The sequence below is a fragment of the Homo sapiens genome, chromosome 12 (genome assembly GCF_000001405.40).
Source record: "Homo sapiens chromosome 12, GRCh38.p14 Primary Assembly".
Classification (NCBI taxonomy): domain Eukaryota; kingdom Metazoa; phylum Chordata; class Mammalia; order Primates; family Hominidae; genus Homo; species Homo sapiens.
In genome coordinates, this window is record NC_000012.12 from 124,049,615 (window position 1) to 124,076,872 (window position 27,258).

The 27,258-nt window shown below is 44.0% G+C and overlaps 1 protein-coding gene across 2 annotated transcripts in view, besides 1 other annotated feature; it reads left to right on the forward strand.

Moving 5' to 3' along the window:
* Window positions 1-27,258, forward strand: part of ZNF664-RFLNA (ZNF664-RFLNA readthrough) — a 342,810-nt gene that overhangs the window by 76,400 nt on the left and 239,152 nt on the right. The window lies entirely within an intron of this gene.
* Window positions 22,151-22,957: an enhancer, noted in NCBI's record as "NANOG-H3K27ac hESC enhancer chr12:124556312-124557118 (GRCh37/hg19 assembly coordinates)". NCBI's record gives its function as "activates a minimal SCP1, AML or CMV promoter by ChIP-STARR-seq in naive and primed H9 embryonic stem cells {active_cell/tissue: H9 hESC(naive and primed)}" and the evidence as "EXISTENCE:reporter gene assay evidence [ECO:0000049][PMID:30033119]".

Below are 27,258 nucleotides of genomic sequence, written 5' to 3' on the forward strand. Positions count from 1 at the left end.
GAGCCACATGCATCTTATTCACTGTGCCAGCCACTGACCTGGCACAGAGTCAATAGCTAATAAATTAACACAGGAGTAAGATAAGGAGGGGAAACAGGACAGACAGACTATAAATACTAACTGGCTGCCCAACCAGCTTCCAGCAAAAATTCCATCCTCTGTTGTTGTTCTTTTCATTCGTCTCTCTTAGAAAGGTAGGATGACTGGAAGATTCTCCTGAAAGGTACAGGTGAAGGTGAAATAGCAGATATGGGGCTCATGGCCTGTGACAATGACAACGATGGCATTGATAGCATCAGCTGCCTTTGGTCAAGCTCCTGCCATTAGCCAGCTGCTGGGCCATGCACCCTCCGTGTGCTCTTGATGAAGGTCCCTGGAATCCTAGGCTTCCAAGGCAGTATGAGGCAACCAGAGGTAAGAAGTGGGAATGGAAGAGCCGAGAAAAGGTGTGATTTCTGGACTGAGACAGGAAGGCCGCTCCTGGGGTCTCTGTGTGGTCGCTCTGCCTTCTGTTTCTCCTCCCCTGTGTCCCTGCCTCCCCTTCCCTGACCATCCATGCAAGCTCCCAGCAGGGCCTGCTCCTCCACGGGGAACTGCCTGATCAACCTTGCCTCACTTTGAGCACTCGTCAACGTTTTATTTCCAAAGAGCTATTGTATTAAGTTCAAAAATATATTTGCCATTTATGGATATATCAAATGTTACCATTCTCAAGTCATCAAGACTTTTTTTTTTTTTTTTTTTTTTTTTTTTGAGGCAGGATCTCACTCTGTTGCCAGGCTGGAGTGCAGTGGTGCAATCTCAGCTCGCTGCAACCTGTGCCTCCTGGGTTCAAGCGATTCTCCTGCTTCAGCCTCCTGAGTAGCTGGGACTACAGGCACACACCAGCATGCCCAGCTAATTTTTGTATGTTTGGTAGAAACGGAGTTTCACCGTGTTGGCCAGGATGGTCTCGATCTCTTGACTTCATGATCTGCCTGCCTGGCCTTCCAAAGTGCTGGGATTACAGGCGTGAGCCACTGTGACTTGCCCAACTGATGTTTGTTTTTGTCTCTCAAGGTGAATTAAGGTTCCTCAAAGACAGCAAATCTTCATGTTACTTAGTCTCTTCTCACAAAAGAAAACTCTCCCCATGAGTAAATGTTTGTTCACTGAATGAATAAGTAAAAACATTTGCAAGTATTATTTTGGGGCTTGGGAAAGTTATCCAGTTTTGAATTGACTTGGAGTCTAGAAGATTCCTGGACAAAATGGTTTTTCCCATTGTCACCATAAAATTGGATACGTGTATAAAAAGTGGGTGGTTCACTAACATTAAAAACATTTATTTTTGGGCTGGGCATGGCAGTTCATGCCTGTCATCCCAGCACTTTGAGAGGCCAAGGTGGGTGAATCACATGAGCCCAGGAGCTCAAGACCAGACTGGGCAACATGGCAAAACCCCGTCTCTACAAAAAACACAAAAATAGGCTGGGCACGATACCACTGCACTCCAGCCTGGGCAACAGAGCGAGAGACTCCATCTCAAAAACAAAAACAAAAACAAAAAAACCCACAAAAATTGGCTGGGCGTGGTGGGGTGTGCCTATAGTCCCAGCTACTCGGGAGGTTGAAGTGGGAGGATTGCTTGAGCCCAGGAGGTTGGGGCTGCGCTGCATTCCAGCGCGGGCAACAGAGCCAGACCCTGTCTCAAAAAGAAGAAAAATAATTCTTTTTGTCCTATGGCTGGAAAGTGAATGTTAAGAACCAGTGCCAAAGGTAAGACTTTCCTGTGATTATCTTTTTTTTTTTTTTTTTTTTTTTTTTGAGACAGAGTCTCACTCTGTTGCCCAGGCTGGAGTGCAATGGGGTGATCTCAGCTCACTGTAACCTCCGCCTCCCAGGTTCAAGTCATTCTCCTGCCTCAGCCTCCCAAGTAGCTGGGATTACAGGCGTGCGCCATCACGCCTGGCTAATTTTTGTATTTTTAGTGGAGACAGGGTTTTGACATGTTGGTCAGGCTGGTCATGAACTCCTGGCCTCAAGTGATCCACCTACCTCGGCCTCCCAAAGTGCTGGGATTACAGGTGTGAGCCACCGCGCCCAACCCTGTGTTTATTCTTAGGTCTGTACTACGCTTTATGCCTCAGTTTCCACAGTTAAAACACGTTATTTTATTCCTCACGTTATAGGAGCAATTTGTATTCATAAACTTGGCCTTCACCTTCAACTTCTGAAGATTTTAATACAGCGCAAATGATTTGGGGTCTGTGAATTCAGTTTTATTTATTTGGCTCCTTCCTTTAAGGAGTCAGGCTAATGCAAGAAAATCCAATAATTAGATCTTTTGGATTTCAAATAACTGGAAGAGGAAGTGGTGTTTATCTAATGGTTTAGGCATAATGCGTGTTTTTTCCCGTAGGCCTGTGTGTGTATGTGTGTGTGTGTGGTTGTTCTTAACTTGAAGAATTAAACACTTGTTTTCCCCGTTAATTCTTTCCTCTGGGGCTTTTGTAGACGTTGTGGAAATGTGACCTGTAAGTCTGTGTCTGAATACATGCTGCAGATGGAAGGAAGGCTGCCTCCCATCTCTCGGGAAATGGCTTCACTCAGTTACTCTTTGGTCCAGGTGGTTGAGTTAGGTGAAGACATTAGTATTTCACTTCCTAGTAAAGTGACTGTTTAGAAAAAAACATTTAGTGAGGACTGAAAAAACTCTTGCTAAATCTGTTTGCTTCCATGAAACGACAGGTTTTGAGGGATGGGGAGGTGGCTTTAGCTTGGGCTGTGGGAGAGGTGCAGACGAAGAGTCTCCAGGACACTCACACCAAGTCATCAGGGATCTAATTTTCTGGTGATGAAGAAATCAAATTGATCCTTCGGTATGATTTTCCCCTCCCAAGAGGCATTCATATCTCCAGGGGTTGTTGGGATTTCCATAACAGGCGGGGGAAGTCGTTTTGTCTCCTGAGTCCCCAACACCCCAGATGAACGTGTCAAAGGACGGCTCCCAGCCCGGCGCTACCATGATGGATTGAGGGCCACAGATTCTGTTTTCTTTTTCTTTTTTTTTTTTTTTTTTTTTGAGACGGAGTCTCGTTCTGTCGCCCAGGCTGGAGTGCAGTGGCGCAATCTCGGCTCACTGCAAGCTCCGCCTCCCGGGTTCACGCCATTCTCCTGCCTCAGCCTCCTGAGTAGCTGGGACTATAGGCGCCCGCCACCGCACCCGGCTAATTTTTTGTATTTTTAGTAGAGACGGGGTTTCACCGTGTTAGCTAGGATGGTCTCGATCTCCTGACCTCGTGATCCACCCGCCTCGGCCTCCCAAAGTGCTGGGATTACAGGCTTGAGCCACCGCGCCCGGGATTCTGTTTTCTTTTAAGTGAAAGAAAATATCAGCCCTACCTTGTCTTTAGTGGAGGAGAAGATGAAAGGGAAAGGGCACGTGGAAACGTGTGCTGGGTGCCCCTGCGCCATCTCCCTGTGTCTGGACCCCAGACACCTCACTGCTCCGGAGGTGCTTTCAGTCCTATATATATTAACCTGAGCTTAGAAAGGAACCTTCAAGCTCCAAAATCTCCTCCCAGGTCCTGGTTAAGAGCCTTTTCACAAATTGGATTCTGCAGTCCTGCATTTTAGTTGAAAATCCCCAATGGAAGCTCTCTGAACTACAAAAGAAGAGACGAATTACCAGGATGCCCCCTCCATAAAATGAAAAAGCCCTACAAGCTGCTGATTAGTCTTTTTTCAGCTCTAAAAGTCAAGGAAGGTCTCGGCCGGGCGGGGAGCTCATTCCTATAATCCCAGCACTTTGGGAGAGGCTGAGGCAGGCTTGAGCTCAGGAGTTCAACACCAGCCTGAACTTGAACTGGCAACATGGCAAAGCCCATCTCTACAAAAAATACAAAAATTAGCCAGGCGTGGTGGTGCGTGCCTGTGGTCCCAGATACTCAGGAGGTTGAGGTGGGAGGTTGGCTTGGACTTGGGAGGTTGAGGCTGCAGTGAGCCAAGATTGCACCACTGCACTCCAGCCTGGGCAACACAGTGAGACCCTGTCTAAAAAAAAAAAAAAAAAAATCAAGGTCTTCATAACTCTAGGAGGCAGAGTGGAATTGAGTCTTTGGCTTCAAGGAGAGAGTGGAGGGAGGCAGCTTAACAGGACGAGAGTAAAGTGAACAGAAAAAGCCTCTCAGAAAAATAAAGGCAGGCGACAGCAAGGAGAGAGGAAAAACCCCCACCTCTCGCGCTGAACAGGGAAATGGGATAGAAAACGTTCCCTGTGATATGCCAACTGAGAATCAACTAGATCTGTTCCACATTTCTTTCTCCTCCTTTTCCCTTTGTACATATTTCCGTGCAGACAGCTTCAGGACGCAGTTCCGGGGAAGCTTATTTCTTCAAAACCCCCCTCTCTCTGCTAGAACAGGCCGTGATTGCTGCGTACCAGCAAGGGGGCAGTCAAGCACAACGCATGAGAAACAAAGGTCCTTCAACCTCCAAGCCCGCAGGAGAGCAGCTCCACTCACTTCCTTTGAAGTGGCCCTCTCTGTTTTTTCTAGGATCGAGAATTTTCCTGTAATACACTGGTCTATTTTTAAACCCACTTTCCATTCGCTAGAAGTAAAGAGTGGAAAAATATAATGAATTGTAGAAAGAAACGGAACATAGGTATAAATGTCAATGGTGGGATTTTATAGGCACATAGAAATCTCCCCTTTAAAAGACACTGCAATTATTTTTAGAATGAGAATTGGTCTCAGGGTGGCCTGAGAGAAGAAATGGGAAAAGAACATTTCAACTTTTACTCTACGGTTCAAACCAGTGATGGCGGTTTGCCATCCTCAATTCAGCACATAAACATGTGGGCTGCCCACCATCCGTGAGCGTGGCAGATACTATGGGAGACGCTAAGGCGACTTAGACAGGATCTCTGCCCTCAAGAGGGTTCCATCTAATTAGGAGGGGACAGACAGACTCACAAATGGCCAAAACAGAAAGTGAAGCCCATCACAGTCACCAGTAAAGTGCAGAGCAAGTGAGAAGAGGGAGGGACCTTCCTTCAGGGGACGGGATATCTCCCATTCCGTGGAGCTGGTGGCACTGGAGGCAGACCTTGAAAGATGACACTGCAGGGACGGGCCGGATGCCCACCCATCCCATTTTCTCTTCCCGGGCCTGTGTTGCAATGAGGTTAGAGTCACGTGGCTGGGCCATGCGATAGAGCCAGTCAGAAGTGGTGGAAGTGAAATATGCCACTTCCGGCCAGGCGCGGTGGCTCACACCTGTAATCCCAGCACTTTGGGAGGCTGAGGCAGGTGGATCACCTGATGTCGGGAGTTCGAAACAGCCTGATCAACATGGAGAAACCGCATCTCTACTAAAAATACGAAATTAGCCGGCCGTGGTGGCACATGCCTGTAATCCCAGCTACTCGGGAGGCTGAGGCAGGAGAATTGCTTGAACCTGGGAGGCGGAGGTTGCAGTGAGCTGAGATTGCGCCATTGCACTCCAGCCTGGGCAATAAGAGTGAAACTCTGTCTCAAAAAAAAAAAGAAAAAAGAAAAAAAGAAATATGCCACTTCCATGTCTGACTGTAACACCCCTTGTGTGGCCATCCAAGCTTTCCCTTTCTCTTCCACACAGAGCCCACATGTTTAAGATAAGTGGTAGAAGCCAGTATCCTTGAGTGCTTGTTGAAAAGAGCTGTCCAGGAGAGCTACCCAACCCACATCACACTATGATGTAAGAGAAGATAGAATTCAGCCACTGAGCTGCTGGGGTGGTTTGTTATAGCAAGTGGTGTCTCTTAGGACAGATGAATAGGTTTTGACCAGTGAAAATGTGGGACCTCTTCCCTGAGTCTCATTCTGCCGAATGTGCTGTTATTAGGACACGCACCACATTTACGGATATCGCTTGTTTGAGGCCAGCCATCCAAGCTTCACTATTTGTACCATGAAAAGGACCTCATCTATCTTGCCCTCCCTCCCATCCCTAGAACCTAGCACAGTGCATCACATACAGTCGGTGTTTAATAAATGGTTTGTTAAACAAAATGGGTAAGAGGGGGCTTTGTTTGGGGAACATCCAATAGTCTAGTTTCAGGAAAGCATAGGATATTTCTATCTAAAGGAGATGGGCATTTAGGTGGGCCTCTGTGGGGACCCTTAACAGGGTGTCAGGAGTTGGCGCTTATTTTGCGGGGCTGTATCCTGAAGCCTTCCCTCCTTTCCTATCCGCTGCAATACTTCATGGGCGTTTTCTTTTGTAAACTTCAATAACTTATTACTAGTTGCCTGTATCTCTAGTCCAACTTTCAGCCTTACTTATCCTAAAAGAACAATAGAGAGAGAGAGAGAGAGAGAGACCTGTGATCCCTGTAATATGAACCTGCTTGTTTAAAGATGTTAGAAAACCTAACTCAACTGACTTTAGGTTAAAAACCACTGGCTCATATAACTGAAAAGTCCAGGATAGTTATAACTGCTTCAAGCATGGACAGATCAGGGCTCTCAAACAGTGTTGTCAAGAATTTCTGATTTTTCTGCTTATTGGAAGTGACGGCATGCCAGTTCTAAGTTTAGGCTTTATTTATATTTTATATTTTTATTTTTATTTTTGAGATGCCCAGGCTGGAGTGCAATGGCACGATCTCAGCTCACTGCAATCTCTGCCTCCCAGGTTCAAGCGATTCTCCTGCCTCAGCCTCCCAAGTAGCTGTGATTACAGGCTCCTGCCACCACGCCCAGTTAATTTTTTGTATTTTTAGTAGAGATGGGGTTTCACCATGTTGGCCAGGCTGGTCTCGAACTCTTGACCTCAGATGATCCACCTGCTTTGGCCTCCCAAGGTGCTGGGATTACAGGCGTGAGCCACCACTCTTGGCTAAGCTTAGGCTTTAAAAAGCATGGCGTGTTCCCACTCGCCCTCATGCATCTGTGCTCTCACCATGAGAAGAGCTTGCCTGGCAGGCTACTGTCCGTTCAGTCTGAGTCCCCGTATGAGCACCTGGAGCCCAACCTCAGCAAATAGCCAAACTCAGCCTGGAACCATAGCTTCAAGTGCAGATGGAATGACTATGACTACCTTTCCCAGTTTGCCCAGCACTGTCCTGGTTTTAAAACTGGGAGTTCCACATCCCAGAAACCCCATCTGTCCTGGGAAGACTGGAACAGTTGGGCACCCTAAGTAGAACCACTGAGCTGAGCGAGATCGGTCAACACTTAACCAATCCGAATGGTGAGAAATACATGCTTATTGCTGAATGTCACTCAGATGTTTATGGCCTTTGGTTACACAGCAATAGCTGATGATACAATGGCTTTACTAAAACACTGTTAAACCCCATATATTCGTGTCACAGAGAAGCACTTGTAATGCTAAAGTTCAGTATCGTGTTTGCCATAGAAATACAAGTACATCATGGAATCACAGAACTGATATGAAAATACAGAAATTATCTGGGCCAAGCTACTGTCTTTAGGCAGGTGATTACTATATGCTACTTATATTATATATTCATTTATGTGTATCTTGTCATTCAAATCAGCAACTTGAACTCATCATAATATTCCATAAGATTCTAGGCTGGGTGCGGTGGCTCATGCCTGTAATCCCAACACTTTGGGAAGTTGAAGGGGGTGGACCACCTGAGGTTAGGAGTTCGAGACCAGCCTGACCAACATGGAGAAACTCCGTCTCTACTAAAAATACAAAATTAGCCAGACATGGTGGCACATGCCTGTAATCCCAGCTACTCAGGAGGCTGAGGCAGGAGAATCACTTGAATCCAGGAGGCGGAGGTTGCAGTAAGCAGAGATTAAGCCACTGCACTCCAGCCTGGGCAACAAGAGTGAAACTCTGGCTCAAAAAAAAAAAAAAAAAAAAAAGATGCTAACATTGTATCTCTGTCATGATAGATACGAAGTAAATGGTACAGATATTGAAAATATAATGACATATGGGAAATATTAATTGATTTGAATGACATCCATTCTCCCTGGTTCCACATAAAGTGCTTCCATATCATGCTTTCTTAGCATCTGCCTGTCCTAATACTTATCACACCTTCTTCTATTTATGTTTGTTTCTCTATGGCCACTATTAATCTATACATTCTGGGATGCCAGGGCCTATGTGTATGTTGTTCCCTATATTACTTTGCTAGGGCTGCCATAATAAATACCACAAACTGGGTGACTTAAGCAACAAAGATTTATTTTCTCACTGTTCTAGAGGTTAAAATCCAAGCTCAAGGCACCAGCAGCTTTGGTTTCTTCTGCGGCCCCTCTGCTTGGCTCTGGTTCAGCAACCTACTTCTTGCTGAATTAATGTGACCGCCCTTCTGTCTGCTCATGTTTCTGGCATCTCTCTGTGTGTCTAAATTTCTTCTGCTAAGGACACCAGTCATACTGGATTAGAGCCCACCCTAAAGATATCATTTTAATGTAATCACCTCTTTAAAGATTTAATCTCCAAATAGAGTTGCATTCTGGGGTACTGGGGGTTAGGACTTCAACATATAAATTTGGGGGGTGTTGTACAGTTCAGCCCATAGCATTCCCTTAACATAGTGTCTGAATGAATGAATAAATGAATGAGTGAATATGTTTGGCATAGAGTTTTTTCTCTGGGACATTTGGATTGTTCTACCTTTTCCCCCTTCATCTTTCTCACAATTATCGGTGAAATCCAAAGCTCATACTTGCTGCTTGTTGGAAGGGTTGGAGTGATGTGCCACCTGCATTCATTTATTTGGTGAGAGCTGGTTTCATTTTACTCTCAGTGACAGCAGAGAAAGCAAAAGGCAGCGTAAAAAAGAGACTAACAGATACAGGAGGGGAAGATAAAGAGGATCATCTTGACCTGGTTTGAATAATCTGATGTATTTTCAAGCGTTCTATAGTTGCTAGACTGACCTTGGGCAGGGGAGAAGGGATAAATCATGGCCGGAGAGACTCACTGGTGTTCATTGTTTTACATACTCAAGTGCCTATAATGAGGACAGTCTCATTATCAGTTTACAGGAATCTTTGCTTATGAAGTTTTTGTCTTTCAGAGAGACACTCCTTTGGGTATCTTAATTTCAGGCACTGAGAAAGAAATATATGGGCCAAGAAGTTGGACTTTGAGCCTTAGCCACCTATGCTTTTGACTTTGTGGATAACTTTAGGCTAATCAGTGTCTTCATTCATGATATACCAAGGATAAAAAGCAAATAAGGTTATAGAATACTATACCAGTGAAACTTAATTTGTATTTCCCCTTAACAGACATACTCAAATTGTTAATCCATGTATCATACATTTCTTTTATTTTTTTTTTATTATTTTTTGAGATGGAGTTTCACCCTTGTCACCCAGGCTGGAGTGCAATGGCATGATCTCCGGTCACTACAACCTCTGCCTCCTGGGTTCAAGCGATTCTCATGCCTCAGGTTCCCAAGTAGCTGGGATTACAGGCGCCCGCCACCATGCCCAGCTAATTTTTGTATTTTTAGTAAAGATGAGGTTTCACCATGTTGGCCAGGCTGGTCTCGAACTCCTGACCTCAGGTGATCCGCCCGCCTCGGCCTCCCAAAGTGCTGGGATTACAGGCGTGAGCCATCGTGCCTGGCCCCTTTCTTTTCTTTTCTTTCCTTTTCTCTTCTCTTCTCTTCTTCTTTCTTTCTTTCTTTCCTTCTTTCTTTCTTTCTTTCTTTCTTTCTTTCTTTCTTTCTCTTTTTTTGTTGAGGGGTACATGTGCAGGTTTGTTTTATAGGTAGACTTGTGTCATGAGGGCTTGTTGTACAGATTATTTCATCACCCAGGTATTAAACCTAGTAACCATTAGTTATTTTTCCTGATCCTGTCCCTCCTCCCACCCTACACCCTCTGATAGGCCCCAGTGTGTGTTGTTCCCCTCTATGTGTCTATGTGTTCTCATCATTTAGCTCCCACTTATAAATGAGAACTTCTGGTATGTAGTTTTCTCTTCCTGCATTAGTTTGCTAAGGATAATGGCCTCCAGCTCTATCCATGTCTCGGCAAAAGACATGATCTCATTCTTTTTTATGTCTGCATAGTATTCCATGGTGTATATGTACATTTTCTTTATCCAGCCTATTGATGGGCATTTGGGTTGATTCCATGTCTTTGCTATTGTGATTAGTGCTGCAGTGAACATACACGTGCATGTGTCTTTATAATAGGATGATTTATATTCTTTTGGGTATATACCCAGTAATAGGATTGCTGGGTCAAATGGTATTTCTGTCTTTATGTCTCTGAGGAATTGCCACACTGTCTTCTACAATTTTCCTGAGTGTATCAGTCAGGATGGGCTATGTTAGGCTGCAGTAACAAACATTGCCAATATTTTACCAACTTATGTCAACAGAGGTTCCTTTCTTGCTCGTGTTGCATGTTCATTTTGGTTCCTCTATGGCTATTTTCCATGTCCTCTTCGCTCTGGAACCCAGGATGATAGAGCTGCTCTGTCACCAATGGGACAAGAAAGTATAGTCCTCTGGCCAGGCACAGTGGCTCATACCTGTAATCCTAGCACTTTGGGAGGCTGAGGCAGGCAGATTGCCTGAGCTTGGGAGTTCAAGACCAGCCTGGGCAACACGGTGAAACCCCATCTTTACTAAAATACAAAAAATTAGCCAGGTGTGGTGGCATGCACCTGTAATCCCAGATACTCAGGAGGCTGAGGCAGGAGAATCACTTGAACCTGGGAGGCGAAGGTTGCAGTGAACTGAGATTGTGCCACTGTACTCCAGCCTGGGTGACAGAGTGAGACTCCATCTCCAAGAAAAAAAAAAGAAAGTATAATCCCCCCTCAGGGACGGATGACAGACATTTTGGAACAGTAATACTATTTGCTACAGTTGATGCATATAGAGTACTAATTGTGTGGGTTAAGTTTAACCTAGTGTTGTAAGTATCAGCTGATGTTCTTAACGGGGGTCTCAGGGTGCCCTGAGCAAACCAACTGATAAGTTCACCAGGAGAAAAATCAATTATTTACCAGGAAAGCAATGGGAAGACCTAGAAGAATAATGGTGGAAATAAAAAGAAATAGATGGATAAAAAAGATGTGGAGGTAGAATCAGTTGAACTAACCTCTTAGAGTTTTAGAAACTTGACAAAATGATTCTGACGTTTATTAGGAAGAATAAATAGGTAAGGGTGAGAATTTTGTGTAAGAAAACTAATTGAGGGGGACTTATTCTACTAGATGGTAAACATATTGTAAAGCTATAATAGTTACAGAGAATGGCATTAAGTCAAGAATACTCAGGCAGATCAAGGGACAGAACAGAGAGCGCAAAAACAGATGACTTAAAATAGTATGTTTAATTACAATAGAGAGGCCGGGCACGGTGGCTCACGCCTGTAATCTCAGCACTTTGGGAGGCCAAGGGGGGCAGATCACCTGAGGCCAGGAGTTCAAGACCAGCCTGACCAATATGATGAAAACCTGTCTCTACTAAAAATACAAAAATTAGCCGGGCGTAGTGGCGCATGCCTGTAATCCCAGCTACTTGGGAGGCTGAGGCAGGAGAATTGCTTGAACCCAGGAGGCAGAGGTTGCAGTGAGCCAAGACCATGCCATTGCACTTCAGCCTGGGCCACAGAGTGAAGCTCCATCTCAAAAAAAGAAATTACAATAAAGGAAGCACCCCCTAAAGAGTGGAAGGGAAAGCTTGGTTAATACATAGTTAATAAACAGTTTGGGGAAAATTGACTCTTAGAGGAAAAAAGCAGTTAAGAGTCTCATCCTAAATTCCAAATAAATTTTAGTTGCATCAAGGAAATATGTACCTAAATAAAATAGTGGATAAATTAAGAAAAAATATATGTGATATTATTTATGTAGTTCCTGGATAAGAAAATTCATTCTTTCCAAGTGTAAAAGCAATAGAAAAAAATCCTCAAAGTAAATAGATTGGCCACTTAAAAAATTTAATTTCTACATACATGTATATATATATAAATCTCATAGAAAATGAAAAATGAAAGATGAACTGGGAAAAATAAATATCTTATAAAATACATCAATCAGTCATATCCTTAAGAGAACAAAGTACTTGTACTAATAAGACTAAACTCCCAAAAGAAAAATGAGCAAAGACTATGAATAGACAATTTATTGAAGATGAACTATAATTGGATAATAACTAATTGCAAATGGAAAGTTGAACAAATTTTCAACCTCAGCAATTATAAAAGAAATGCAAATTAACACCACGAGATAACATATTTTAACTTATTAAAATAGTGAAGACTAAAAATATTCGAAGGTGGGAGACTGCGTGGGGAACGGCACTCCTTGGCATTGCTATGGACATCTGAGTTTGCAACCACCTTCTAGAGGGAGAGTTTGGCACTGTAGATGAGAAACCTCATTGATCTAGTAATTTGCTTTTAGGAATCTGTCTGGTGGGTCGCTTTCAGCTATTTCCTCTAAGGAAATCATCAGAGATATGATCGTAGACTTAGGTAAAAGGTGGTTGTTATGACAGCTTTATAGTGTCAAAAATTTGGGAACACACAAAACGCCTAATACCTGGGATTCTCAAGAATAGATCAGTACATGGCACAGGAAAAAATGGTGTTTTTGAAGAAAATATCTCCCAGGGAGCTGCTTAGCAGTGAAGGGCAAGGAGGGAGGAATGCTACCCTTTGAACAGGTGTCCTGTTCAAAAAGTGATACAGCAAATCCTGCAAAGTCCGCCTCCTTCCCTCTTCTGCCCCCAAGTTCCTGAGCCTGCACTGCCCTTGCAGAGGCAACCAATACGTCCACTTTCTTTTCTTGCCGGAGGGTTTCTAAGCTGGACTATTAGCTTGACATGTGATTTTCGGAGACAGAAGATTCAAGGATGTTCCTAGGCTGATGAGAAGAGAAAGGGGACTGTCTGTGGTGGTCACAACTTTTGGTCTCCCATCACCTTTTCCCCCTCCGTAGGGGTAGGACATCAAGATGGGAAAGGAGAGCAACACCTAGAAAGGGAAATAGGGAAGCAACTATGGGGTCTGAACTGAGGGCAGGAAGAAGGAGGGAACAGTGTTGTTTTTAGACAGTAGGGGAAGAGGAAAAGGTGAGATAAGATGCCGAGAAAGTTAGCAGGGAAGACGCTGATATGAGACCATCTCGCAAGGTAGTCTCCATGACTTAAGCAACAGGCTGACCGACCTCCAAGTTTCCAAGTCTCCTGTAGGAGACGAGGAAAATGTCATGGGAGACCCGGAAGTGAGATAAGGTAGGATGAGAAGGTTGCCAGGCAACGCTGAGGTCCGGATGGACGCCTGGGCTCATATTTGTGGCTGCATCTTTGGCACAATATGGCGGACTTCTCCACCAAGAGGAAACCATAAGGGTTAGGAGCAGAGGAAGAGGAGACTTGACTGACTCAGGGTTCGGGGTGCTCAAAGGGAGCGGTGGCCGTGTACCTAACAGGAGTGAGGTCAGAAGGATCGAGTCCCAGGTTAGGGCTGCTGAGAAAAGACCAGTAGGCTGACTGACCAAACAAGATCGAGGCCAAGAACTGAACGCCTCAGTGAAGCTGGGGCCAGGGCAGCCTGGGTGAAAGTGAAAAAATGGGGGAGTCGAAAGAGCAGGGGATTCCAGGTCAGACTTTGAGATTGCCTGAGTAACCATGTGTTCAACAACCAGAAATGAAAGGCAAGAAGCTAGTTGGGCCGCATCTGGACTTTGGTGGACACTAGGCATTTTTGCCTTTGAAGGTCTCTTCCTCCATAAAAATAAAATTTAAGAATGACATTTTACAACTGCATTGGTATAAAGGCAAATCTATTAATATTATGTTTTCAAGCATTGTCTTCAACGAAAGTTCAGGGTTTGTTCCTCGCTCTGATTTTAAAAGAAAGAAAAACATTTCTTGCACTCCTACAAGTATTTTGGGCCTAGGCGCTGTTCCTGCTGTGCCTGGTGGATAAGTCAGCCCTGCATGCAGCCTCCAAAATCGGGAGGTCTGTGCCAAGCACCTGGGAACCTGGGTCCAAAGGAAGCCCAAGTCTATCTTCCATGGCTCCCCAGCACCCTCCATGCTCAGCTCTTCCCAACCTTTGCCTTTTCCCTAAAAGGCCCAAACTTCACACCGCCCTAGCTTGCCCACTCTGTCTTTCTAACCCTTTTTCCTCCTCCTCCTGGACTTTCTCGTCCGGCCTGCCCTGTCTTTCCAGCCTCACCTTTTGCCACAGGTGAGTGCCAGGTACACGGGAGTGTGCAGATGGAGAGGGTGTGTTCATGGAGGCTTGGGCAGAAGCACCGAGACAACAGACATGATATTCCAAAGGAGGGGCTGCCTCCATGGGCAGAATATTCCAAAGAAGTGCCTGTCAACTTGAGTATTTGGGTCCTAAACCCCCCACACATCAGGAATATAAAAAGGGTCCAGCACTGCAAGTAAGAAGAGGGTTCTTTGGGCCGGGCACGGTGGCTCACGCCTGTAATCCCAGCACTTTGGGAGGCTGAGGCGGGCGGATTGCCTGAGCTCAGGAGTTCGCAACCAGCCTGGGTAACAAGGTGAAACCCCGTCTCTACTTAAATACACAAAAAATTAGCTGGACGTGGCGGCATGTGCCTGTAGTCCCAGCTACTTTGAAGGCTGAGGCAGGAGAACTGCTTGAACCTGGGAGGCGGAGGTTGCAGTGAGCCAAGATCACACCACAGCACCCCAGCCTGGGTGACAGAGTGAGACTCCATCTCAAAAAAAAAAAAAAAAAAAGGAAGAGGGTTCTTTGGGTGTAGTTTTTCTGTGAGTCCCTTCTGTCTCTTCTACCCAGTGGGAGAGGAGCTTTATTCTGACCCCTCAGAGAGCTTTGTCTTCTTAAGATTGGACAGAGTGGTCTGTTATCTGGCTCCTTAAAGGCTGAGAGAGGGGCTGGTAAGCTGTGTTTTGGGAAAGGGGAGGGAGAGGTGTTTGTATTGGATGTTCTGTCCACCAAGAGTTTGCTGGGTAAAGCATGCTTGAATATTATCTCCTGGACCAGCTAGTGGGCCATGGCATGGCAGCAGCCAGTATGAGGTTGTCTTAGGTCCTGCTACAGAGGCCACCTGACCAAGAGGGTGAACAGCCTTTAGTAAATAGAAGTGGGTGGTGCCACAGGATTCCCACGGCCAAGAAAGGCCCTGGCCCAGGCATCAGCCTGCCCCAGGGGGCTGTTGGGTGAGACCCTACAAAGGTACCCATGAGAGAAGGGCTCAGCTTTAAACATACAAAGACCAGAGAACCGGAAGCCAGATGGCCCTCATGATGCCAGCCATGTCCCAATTTTGGGGCTCCCATTACCTTTTCTCCCTCCCAAAGGGGTTAGACATCAAGATAGGAAAGGGGAACAACACCTAGAAAGGGAAAGAGAAAAAAAATGGGGCCTGAACTGGGGGCAGGGAGAACAATCAACTTTAAATCAAGTTTGGAGTTCTGATTTTTATATGAACTGGACATTTTAATGATGGCATTGAAATTGGGTTTTAGGACTCAAAAGGCTTGAAGAACCATTCTACCTCAGACTGACAAGAAAAGGTAAAGGATCTGCTCCATACTTCACCTACGGGAAGGAGAATTGTCCCTGCAGGGTGCACTTAGAAGGACAGTGGGAGACAAAGAGCAAGTTGCTTTCTGATTGTATATGATGGGTCATGCTTGTTCAATATAAGAGCTGCTTTGGGCATATCATCAAAACACTCTGCCCTCTTTCTGCTGTGTCGTTGCTTAAGCTGCTCCCTCAGCTGGGAAGAGTGGCATCCCTTGCCCTCTTGTTGAAATTCTCCTCCTTCAAGATCGAGTTTAAATTCTGTGCCTCTGTAACCTTTTCCCCAATCCCCAATCTCTAGCACTTTCATGAGACTGATACATAAAGTCAAAATTCTAACTGATTTAAATTGCATAAATGGTGCACCATAGGTAAAAGTTGAGTAAAATAAAAAGAAACTCCACTACCGAGAGATAAACATTAAGAGCAGGTGTTATTGATAAGCCGGGTACTATTTTTAAGTGCTTTGCAAATACCAGCCCATTGGATCCCATGGCATCACCATAGAGGGGGTACTACTACCATCCTATTTTACATGGGAAACTACATGTGGAAAGATTAGGTAACTTTACCAAGGTCTCACAGCCTACAAATTGTGGGGCCAGGATTTGAACCCAGGTGGTCCAGCCTCCATAGGCTGAGCTCTTAACCACTACACTAGGCTGCCTCCCTTGCTACATATCTTTGGTGCCAGCCGTGTCACAAAGTACTCTGGTTGGATCATGCATGTGATAATGAGTAGTGCATTATCTTCTTTAAGTCAGACATACATAGCCATATCAAGCCTTTTCCTATACAAATATATGCATATAAACATACATGCAAACAATAAATATATAGTATATAAATATATTAGTGAAAACAGGATAGGATACACTACATAATATTTTTAGCCTATTTTTCAACTTAAAAATAAATCATGAATGTCCTTCTATATCAACAAATATACACGGCTTTTTTAATGGCTATATACTCTTTTATTGTAACACACTGTAATTTATTTAATTTTCTGGTTTGGGACATTTTGATTTTTCACTTTTGTGAGTATAAATATTGATTGATGCTTTTTGGTATAAATCTTTCTTCACTAGTCCATTATTTGCTTAACATAGTATATTAGTTTTATCACTGTATAACAAACTACCACAAACTTAGTGGCTTAAAACAAGATGTTACCTCACAATTTCTGCTGATCAGGAGCCCAGATCCATAGGGCTTATGTGGCTGCAGTCAAGTTGTTGACTGGGCTGTGTTCTCATCTGGAGGCTCAACTGGGGAAGAATCTTCTTCCAAGTCCACTCAGCTGTTGGAAGAATTCATTTCCTTATGGCTGTGGGACTAAGAGCTTCCATTTTTTTTTGGTCTTTGCTACCTGTCAGCAGTTCACACATGGCAGCTTGCTTCTTCAAGGCCATCAGGAGAGCAAGAATGAGTTTCCTAGCAAGATGGAATCTTTTTTTTTTTGAGGTAGAGTTCGCTCTTGTTGCCCAGGCTGGAGTGCAATGGCAAGATCTTGGCTCACTGCAACCTCCACCTCCTGGGTTCAAGTGATTCTCCTGCCTTAACTAGGATTACAGGCATGTGCCACCATACCTGGCTAATTTTTTGTATTTAGTAGAGACGAGGTTTCACTATGTTGGTCAGGCTGGTCTTGAACTCCTGACCTCAGGTGATCCACCCACCTCGGCCTCCCAAAGTGCTGGGATTACAGGCATGAGCCACCATGCCCGGCGCAAGATGGAGTCTTATAAATTGGCATCTTCTATGTAGATTGCTAAAAGTAGAAGCATGGGCCAAAGAGTACACAAAATTCTAGGATTTTTTTCCATACATATTGTCAAATTGTACTCTGGAAAAAATTGTACCAATTTACCCTCACACCCAACAGTGTACGAGAATGCCTGTCTCCCCAAACCCATGCCAACACTGGGTACCAGTATTATTTTTAGTTTGTTAATCTACTAATTGAAAACTTGTTTCTCATAGTTTTAACTTTGGGATGGCCAGTTTTACACATTTACTGGATTATGCATGCCAGGGTGAGTAGTGCATTATCTTCTTTAAGGCAGACATACAGAGGAAGCCAATTTGTTCTCAGAAGGTTTCTTGTTGAGCAGGAAGAAGAATGGAGAGGCATACCATGTTCATGGATTGGAAGAGTCAACATAATAAAAATGTCAGTTCTCCCCAAATTGCTATACAGATTTAACACAATTCCCATCAAAATCCCAAGGAAGGGCTGGGTGTGGTGGTTCACGCCTGTAATCCCAGCACTTTGGGAGGCTGAGGTGGGTGGATCACGAGGTCAGGAGTTTGAGACTAGCCTGGCCAAGATGGTGAAACCCCATCTCTACTAAAAATACAAAAATTAGCTGGGTGCGGTGGTGGGCACCTGTAACCCCAGCTACCTGGGAGGCTGAGGCAGGAGAATTGCTTGAACCTGGGAGGTGGAGGTTGCAGTGAGCTGAGATCATGCCACTGCACTCCAGCCTGGGCAACAGAGCAAGACTCCATCTCAAAAAAAAAAAAAAAAATCCCGGGAAGATCTATCCAATTTCAAGACTTATTGTACAGCTACAGTAATAAAGACTGTATAGTATTGACAAACACATAGATCAATTGACCAATTAGACAACCCAGAAATAGATACACACAAACATACCTAACTGAGTTTTGTCCCAAGTGCAAAAAAAATTCAATGGAAAAAAGTTATCTCCTTGTAAAACTGGTGCTGGAGCTATTATTCATCCATGGACAAAAATATGAGCCTTGACCTATGTCTCACACCTTTACAAAAATTAACTCATAATGAATTGTGTGCTTAAATGTAAAACATAAAATTTTTAAACTCTTAGGAAACAGGAGAAAAATATTTAGGATCTAGTGATAGACAGTTCTTTGACCTGACACCAAAAACATGATCATAAAGTGAAAAACTGGTAAATTGGGATTCATCAAAATGAAAAAAATTTGCCCTGCAAAATACCCCTTTTAGAGGATGAGAAGACAAACTGGAGAGTGGGAGAAAATATTTGTAAACCACATATGTGACGAAGAACTCATATCTAGAATATAAAAAAGAACTCTCAAAACTCAGTAGTAAAAATGCAAACAATTTGACTAGAACATGGGCAAAAGATGTGAAGAGACATTTTATTGAAGAAGATTAAAGATGACAAATAAGCACATGAAAAGATATTCAACATCATTAGCAATTAGGAAAACACAAAATAACAACAATATGTTATTACAAACCTATCAGAATGGCTAAAATAAAAAATAGTGGCAACATCAAATGCTGTTAAGGATGCAGAGAGACTGGATCAAATATATATTTCTGGTAGACGTGTAAAACGGCACAGTTATTCTGTGGGACAGTGTGGCAGTTTTGTTTGTTTTAGATGTGATATAGTGGAAATAGAACATTGGCTTGAGGCTGGGTGCCGTGGCTCACACCTGTAATCCCAGCACTTTGGGAGGCCCAGGGGGGCGGATCACCTGAGGTTGGGAGTTGGAGACCAGCCTGACCAACATGGAGAAACCCCGTCTCTACTAAAAATACAAAATTAGACAGGTGCGGTGGTGCATGCCTGTAATCCCAGCTACTCAGGAGGCTGAGGCAGGAGAATCACTTGAACCTGGAAGGCACAGGTTGCAGTGAGCCGAGATCACGCCATTGCACTCCAACCTGGGTGAGAAGAGTGAAACTCCGTTCCTGCCCCACAACCAAAAAAAAAAAAAAAAGAACATTGGACTGGAATGTCAGTTTTATCATTCAACTGGCTGAACAAGTACCAACCTTGCAGAGCTTTGGTTTCTTCATCTGTGAACTGGTGATGAAAATAGTACCTACCCATAATTGAGAGGATTTAAATCAGGGGTTGGCAAATTACAGTCCTTGGACTAAATCTAATCTGGCACCTGTTTTGCAAATAAAGATTTATTGGAGCATAGCCATAACCACACCACAAGGACAGAGTTGAATGTTTGTGACAGAGACTGGCCTACAAAGCCATTTACTAGATATACCTTTATAGAAAAACTTGCCAACCCCTGATCTAGATGATATAATATGCATAAAAATGTTTGAAAATAGTAAAGCATTAATTGTAGTTGTTATTATATATCTTTAATAACAGACCTTCTGTTTCTGAGAAGAAAGAATGGTTTTCTCACACAATGCCAATCTGAACAGGTAGATTTTTTTTTTTTTTTTTTTTTGAGACAGAGTCTCACTCTGATACCTAGGCTGGAGCGCAGTTGCACGATCTTGGCTCACTGCAACCTTCACTTCCCAGATTCAAGCGATTCTACTGCCTCAGCCTCCTGAGTAGCTGGGATTATAGGCACGCGCCACCACCCCTGGCTAATTTTTGTATTTTTAGTAGAGACAGGGTTTCACCATGTTAGTCGGGCTGGTCTCGAACTCCTGACCTCGTGATCCTCCTGCCTCGGCCTCCTAAAGTGCTGGTATTACATGCATGCACCACAGCACCCAGCCATCTGAGCACGTAGATTTTTAAAAAGCTTGGATGACATATCCCCTAGTAAGAGTATCATACTAGCAATATTATATCTCATGTAAGTAATATTATAAACAATCAGTTTGATAGATAACACTTTTTATTATGAACAGTTTTGTTTGTTTGTTTGTTTTTCTGAGACAGAGTCTTGCTCTGTCGCCCAGGCTGGAGTGCAGTGATGCGATCTCGGCTCACTGCAAGCTCTGCCTCCTGGGTTCACGCCATTCTCTTGCCTCGGCCTCCTGAGTAGCTGGGACTACAGGCACCCGCCACCGTGCCTGGCTAATTTTTTTGCGTGTTTTTAGTAGAGACGGGGTTTCACCGTGGTGTCGATCTCCTGACCTCATGATCCGCCCGCCTCGGCCTCCCAAAGTGCTGGGATTACAGGCGTGAGCCACTGTGCCCGGCCAACAGTTTTAAACATAAAGAAAGGTGAGCTCCATATGTCTACCAGCTGGATTTAGCAATTGTTAACATTTTGCCCTATTTGCTTTATGACCTATTATCTCTATCTCTCTATCTATCCACCCACCTTACCTATCTGTGTTTATATATTATTTGCCCAATCACTTGAAAGCAAATTGCAGACATCATGAGCCTTCACCCCTAAATACTTCCTTAGCAAGGTGAATGCCCAAGGGGTTCACCTTGCCCGCTGCCTAGAGAGCTGATTCATCAAGACAGGGGAATTGCAATAGAGAAAGAGTAATTCATGCAGAGCCAGCTGTGCAGAAGACCTGAGTTTTATTATTACTCAAATCATTCTATCCAAACATTCAGGGAGCAGAGTTTTTAAGGATAACTTGGTGGGTGTGGGGAAGCCAGTGAGCCAGGAGTGCTGATTGGTCAGAGATGAAATCATAGAGAGTCAAAGCTGTCTTCTTGTGCTGAGTCAGTTCCTGGGTGGGGGCCACAAGATCAGATGAGCCAGTTTATGCATCTGGGTGGTGCCAGCTGATGCATCACGTGCAGGGTCTGCAAAATATCTCAAGCCCTGATCTTAGGAGCACTTTAGGGAGGGTCAGAATCTTGTAGCCTCCAGCTGCATGACTCCTAAACTGCAATTTCTAATCCTGTGGCTAATGTTAGTCTAGTCCCCAGGCAAGAAGGAGGTCTGCTTTGGGAAAAGGGCTGTTACCATCTTTGTTTAAACTAGAAACTAGAAACTAAGTTTCTCCCAAAGTTAGTTCAGCCTACGCCCAGGAATGAACAAAGACAGCTTGGAGGTTGGAAGCAAGATGGAGTCAGCTATGTTAGATCTCTTTTACCGTCTCAGTCGTAATTCTGCAAGGGCGGTTTCGCATGCATCTTCTGTGAATAATGACTTTCTCCTGCAGAATCACAAAATCGTCATCACATGTAAGAAAAGTTGCAACAATTCCCAAATATCATCTAATATTCCATTTTCTCCAATTGTTCACAAAATGTATTTCTTACCTCTTTTTTCAAACCAAGAACCAAGGAAGTTTATCTCATTGTGTTTGGTTGTTCTGTTTCTTTTAATCTTATTCCTCCACCTTTTCTCCCTATGACATTGACTTTTTGAAGAGACAATTTCAGACCATTTAAACCAAATAAACTATGGGCTCTTGGCAGGCAAGGCGATTTTTTTTTTCCACTATGCCTCTGAGCACTTAATACAGAACAAGCTGAAAAAATACTTCTTGACTTACTGATTGTGCTATGGCAACTAGGAGCGTTCTGAACAAACGGAGCAGGAAGCCCTTCTCATATTTGACTAATCAATTAATTAACTTTTACTTTATGTGAGGCAATTACCCTAAAACATTCTGGTTTTGTGCCACCAGTTGTGAGACCAGAGCTTAATTTCTCCCTGTCCAAAGTGGTGGAAGAGGGGCCTTTGATTTGGTCTCCATTCTGAGGACAACTCAAAGAATTTTGCCCTCAAATAATGTAAGGGGTAATGGGTAAGGTACAAAAGGTAGAGGATGGAGAATAGCTCAAAGCTACAGGATGGATCAGGTGCTGGTAGATTCTCTCAACCTGACATCCCTTCATCTGCTTTTCCTTTTAGTGCAATAACAAAGACTGTCCCAGGGAAATGCCGTCTCATTTCTTTTCTTTTTCTTTTTCAATTTTTTTTTTTTTTTTTTTGAGACAGAGTCTCACTCTACCGCCAGGCTGGAGTGCAGTGGCAGGATCTCAGCTCACTGCAACCTCTTCTTCCCAGGTTCAAGCGATTCTCCTGCCTCACCCTCCCGAATAGCCGGGACTACAGGCACACGCCGCCACGCTCAGCTAATTTTTGTATGTTTAGTAGAGACGGGGTTTCACCATATTGGCCAAGATTGTCTTGATCTCTTGACCTCGTGATCCGCCTGCCTCAGCCTCCCAAAGTGCTGGGATTACAGGCGTGAACCACTGCACCCAGCTTTTTCTATTATATTGTTTGCATTTGGTCATTGTGTTCTCCTGGTTGGGAGTTAAGCCTTTGGATTCTTTTCTTATGTTAATTCAAACATTCCAGCAGACTTGGAAATGGTTTCAGGAGAGGACCCTTGAATATCTGAGGGTCTAGTTAACGGTAGGGAACATTCCAACATTATTTATTGGAAACCATATAATACATGGAATGAACATTGCATATTTTGAAGAAAACCTTGACCCTCATGGTTTTGAGCGTCTAGAAAAGGAGGAAATTTTGGCTGAGAGTTGAAAGCCCTTGTGTTTCCTAACAGCCAATAGTAAATCTTTCCTAGAAGTTCCGGTGTGAGCTGATTTCCAGCCATTGGGGCTGATCCTAAAATACGTTGTTAGGTGTAACATAGAAGTCAAAAGCCACATTTCTGGAAACTTTGGAAGCACAAGGGAATGCTCTGTTGACTGAAACAATTAAAGAGGAAATAGACAGGAAGCAGAGCTCAGACGCTGGTGAGCCTACGGCTCAGTCTCTCCTGGTGCATTTGTCTTTCCTTGGAGACAACTAATTGGATTACACATAGCTTCTAGAAAGAGCCAAGCTGTTATTATTATATTTCTTTTTCTTTCTTTCTTTCTTTTGCGATGGAGGCTTGCTCTGTCACCCAGGCTGGAGTGCAATGGCTCAATCTCAGCTCACAGCAACCTCTGCCTCCCGGGTTCAAGCGATTCTCCTGCCTCAGCCTCCCGAGTAGCTGGGATTACAGGCATCTGCCACCACACCCAGCTAATTTTTGTATTTTTAGTAGAGACAGGGTATCCCCATGTTGGCCAGGCTGGTCTCGAACTCCTGACTCAGGTGATCCTTCCGCCTCGGCCTCCTGAAGTGCTGGGATTACAGGCGTGAGCCACCGCAGCCAGCCATTATTACATTTCTTTAGAAGGCCTAGCTGCCTGAGAATTCGGAAGCACTTTCATGTATTTTGTGGCAACTGTCTGGTTTCTATGATTGTGGTTTGGGCTCTCTCTCGCTCACACCTCTTCTTCTGCCTCTCTCTGTCACCTTTTTCCTCCTTCAGGTCTCTCAGCCCAGCATCACCTTCTCAGAGCAGCCTGCATCCATCCCCTAGACTAGAAATATCCCCCTTTCAAATAACCTCATGGCACCCACACCTCAAGACAGGTTGCAATTGAATGTCTGTTTATCCCTCCCTGTCTCCATTCTATCCCCAGGGCCTCCCACTCTGCCTGGCAAAGAACGGATGTGCTCACATCAGGAATATTTTAATGAAGGTGCTGTTACTGGAAAGGGATCCCAATCCAGACCCCAAGAGAGGGTTCTTGGATCTCATAAAAGAAAGAATTCAGGGCGAGTCCATAAAGTGAAAGCAAGTCCATAAAGGAAAAGCAAAGAGAAAAAAGAATGGCTACTCCATAGACAGAGCAGCACCAAGGGTTGCTGGCTGGCCATTTTTATGGTTATTTTGTTATTATGTGCTAAACAAGGGGTGGGTTATTTATGAGTTTTCTGGGAAAGGAGCAGGCAATTCCTGGAACGGAGGGTTCCTCTCCTTTTAGACTATATAGGGTAACTTCCTGATGTTGCTGTGGCATTTGTAAACTGTCACGATGCTGGTAGGAGTGTCTTTTAGCATGCTAATGCGTTATAATTACCATATAATGAGCAGTGAGGATGAGCAGAGGTCACTTTCATCACCATCTTAGTTTTGGTGGGTTTCTTTACCACATCCTGTTTTATCAGCAGGGTCTTTGTGATCTGTATCTGTGGTGCCAGTCCTGCTGACCTCCTTTCTCGTCCTGTGACTAGTGATGTCTAAGCTCCTGGGAATGCAGCCCTGTAGGTCTCAGCCTTATTTTACCCAGCCCCTATTCAAGATGCAGTTGCTCTGGTTGGAACGTCTCTGACAGTATGAGTTTGGGAAGAGTTGGAAATGCTGAAGAAGTGACCTGGAGACAGCGAAGGTGACGTAGGGTTTATTGGGGGGACTTACATACAGGGACGGTCCAGTGGCGGCAGGCTGGCCAGGAGAAGCACTACCATTGTAAAAAGCATGTAGTTGATGTACGATTTTCACTTAGCACCCTCCATCTAGCAACCTCCATACATAAGTAGGCTAAGAATATGGACAGAGAATTGACAAAACAAACATAAACCATGAAAAATATGAAACACACCTTTTGAAAGATCAACCTAAATTGGATTCAAAGAAATGCAAATTAAAATATTTTGTCATCAAATCAGCAAAGAAGAAAATAATATGCAATGCTGTTGCAGTGAACGAGATTCTAGTGGAAGTATGTTTTTTGGCATAAATATATTCAACACATAAACATAAATATTAATGTATATAAATAATATGTAAACATATTATAAACATATACACAATAATTAATTATATATACATATAAATGTATAAATCAATAAATGTCAGAGCAGTGATGAAGACAATAATAATTATGGTAATAATCCCAATCATAAATGTGAACATTTGTTGAGGGCTTACTCACACTACTTGTGACATTTCATATATATTATCTCACTTAATCCTGACAACAACCCCCATTGTCTGAAGTACATACCCAAGCCTTATCGCCTCATACCAAGGATATTGAGGATGCAGACCAGCAAGGAGTGAATTTAAGAGCAGAAGTTTAATAGGCAAAAGAAAGAGGAAAGCTCCCTCGTGCAGAGGAAGGGGTCCTGAACGGGTTTCTGGGTTCCCAGCAAGATGCCATTGGTTTTATAGATGAGCTTGAGGAGGTGGTATCTGATGTACGTAGGATGCAAAAGATTGGTTGGACCAATTCCATTTACATAGCATGCAAAGAAGCCGGCTGTCCCATCCTAATCTGTTTTTATACAGATGTGTTCTCTACCTGGCCAGCGTCATGTTGCCTGTTTGCTTACTGCACGCATGGTGACAAAACAGAAGCCTCCATGTTGGATATGCCTGGGTCCTAGGTGTCAGGCCTCTGAGCCCAAGCTAAGCCATCATATCCCCTGTGACCTGCACGTATACATCCAGATGGCCTGAAGCAACTGAAGATCCACAAAAGAAGGGAAAATAGCCTTAACTGATGACATTCCACCGTTGTGATTTGTTTCTGCCCCACCCTAACTGATCAGCGTACTTTGTAATCTCCCCCACCCTTAAGAAGGTTCTTTATAATTCTCCCCACCCTTGAGAATGTACTTTGTGAGATCCACCCCCTGCCTGCAAAACATTGCTCCTAACTCCACCACCTATCCCCAAACCTCTAAGAACTAGTGATAATCCACCACCCTTTGCTGACTCTCTTTTCGGACTCAGTCTGCCTGCACCCAGGTGAAATAAACAGCCTTGTTGCTCACACAAAGCCTGTTTGGTGGTCTCTTCACATGGACGCGTGAGACACTAGGTAGCCCTTTTCTGTTAGCACAGCTGCTGGCATTCACCTGCGCAAGCTTCCAGCTTGCTTATCTATGTCTGCAGCTTGATTTTTCAGGCTGCCCTTTGTTAGAAAAGAAATGATTTGGGGGCTGCTTTTTATTAAAAAGGAAGCCTTGCCAAGGACTCTCTTACCCTTACTAACTGCCTAAAGAATTTCTTTCTAGCTCCTGTATCAGATGGACTATAATCATCCCCATCTTATAGTGGAAGAGAGAGAGGCAGAGAGCAGTTAAGTAGCTGTGCCGAACCCCGATGGACTCCAGTAGGGATGACATTGTGTCTGAGAGCTGAAGAAGTGACCTGGAGACAGCAAAGGAGACGTAGGGTTTATTGGGGGGACTTACATACAGGGACAGTCCAGTGGCGGCAGGCTGGCCAGGAGAACCACTACCATTTGTGAAAAGCATGTAATTGATATAGCATTTTCACTTAGCACCCTTCACCTAGCAACCTCCATTTAACCCAAACAAAGAGCCTTGACCCCTTGTACAGCTTGCATTCCAAAGGATGGCTGGGGGTTTGGGTGTCCTTCTTAGATAAGGGTTTGGCCACTCCTGGATTCCTTCACTTAAGACTCTGAACTCACATTCTTCTTAGACCACAAGGTTATCAAGGTTATCCTCAGATGATGCTTAAGCGATTGCTGTCAGGTGCATCTGCCACACAGTAGTTTGCCAAAGATCACCCAGTAGCAACGGAATTGGGATTTGAACCAGGCAGTCCTCTGAAGTCTATGCTTTACCGTCTTACCTAAAAAATGTTTATGCCCCTTGGCCTTCTGATTTCACTTCTGGGAGTCTAGCTCAAGGAAGTATTTCTAAAGATTATCAGGCACAAATATGTTCGCAGAACCATTATGCAAGACATCTATTCCATAGATGATTCTGTTGTCCTTAAAAAGGTGTTTATAGCTGGGTGTGGTGGCTCCTATTTGTAATCCCAGCACTTTAGGAGGCCAAGGTGGGAGGATCCCTTGAGGCCAGGAATTCAAGATCAGCCTGGGCAACATAGCAAGACCGCCATCTCCACAAAATATTTTTTAAAAAATTAGCAGGGTGTGGTGACTTGTGCCAGCTACTCAGGAGACTTAGGCAGGAGGACTGCTGGAGTTCAGGAGTTCAAAACTGCAGTGAGCTATGATTGCACCACTGAACTTGATCCTGGGCAACAGAGTGGGACCCTGTCTTTAAAAATATATATTTATGATGAATACAAAACAACATAAAAATATTTTCATGAAATTTTATGTGGTAACAAACTCAGACTTATACCATATAGGATGTCAAACTGCACACTAGCCACACTAATCATAAAACTGAATCTATAAGATATAATATTTTTTGTTTTGGAGATGGGAGTCTCACTCTGTCACCCGGGCTGGAG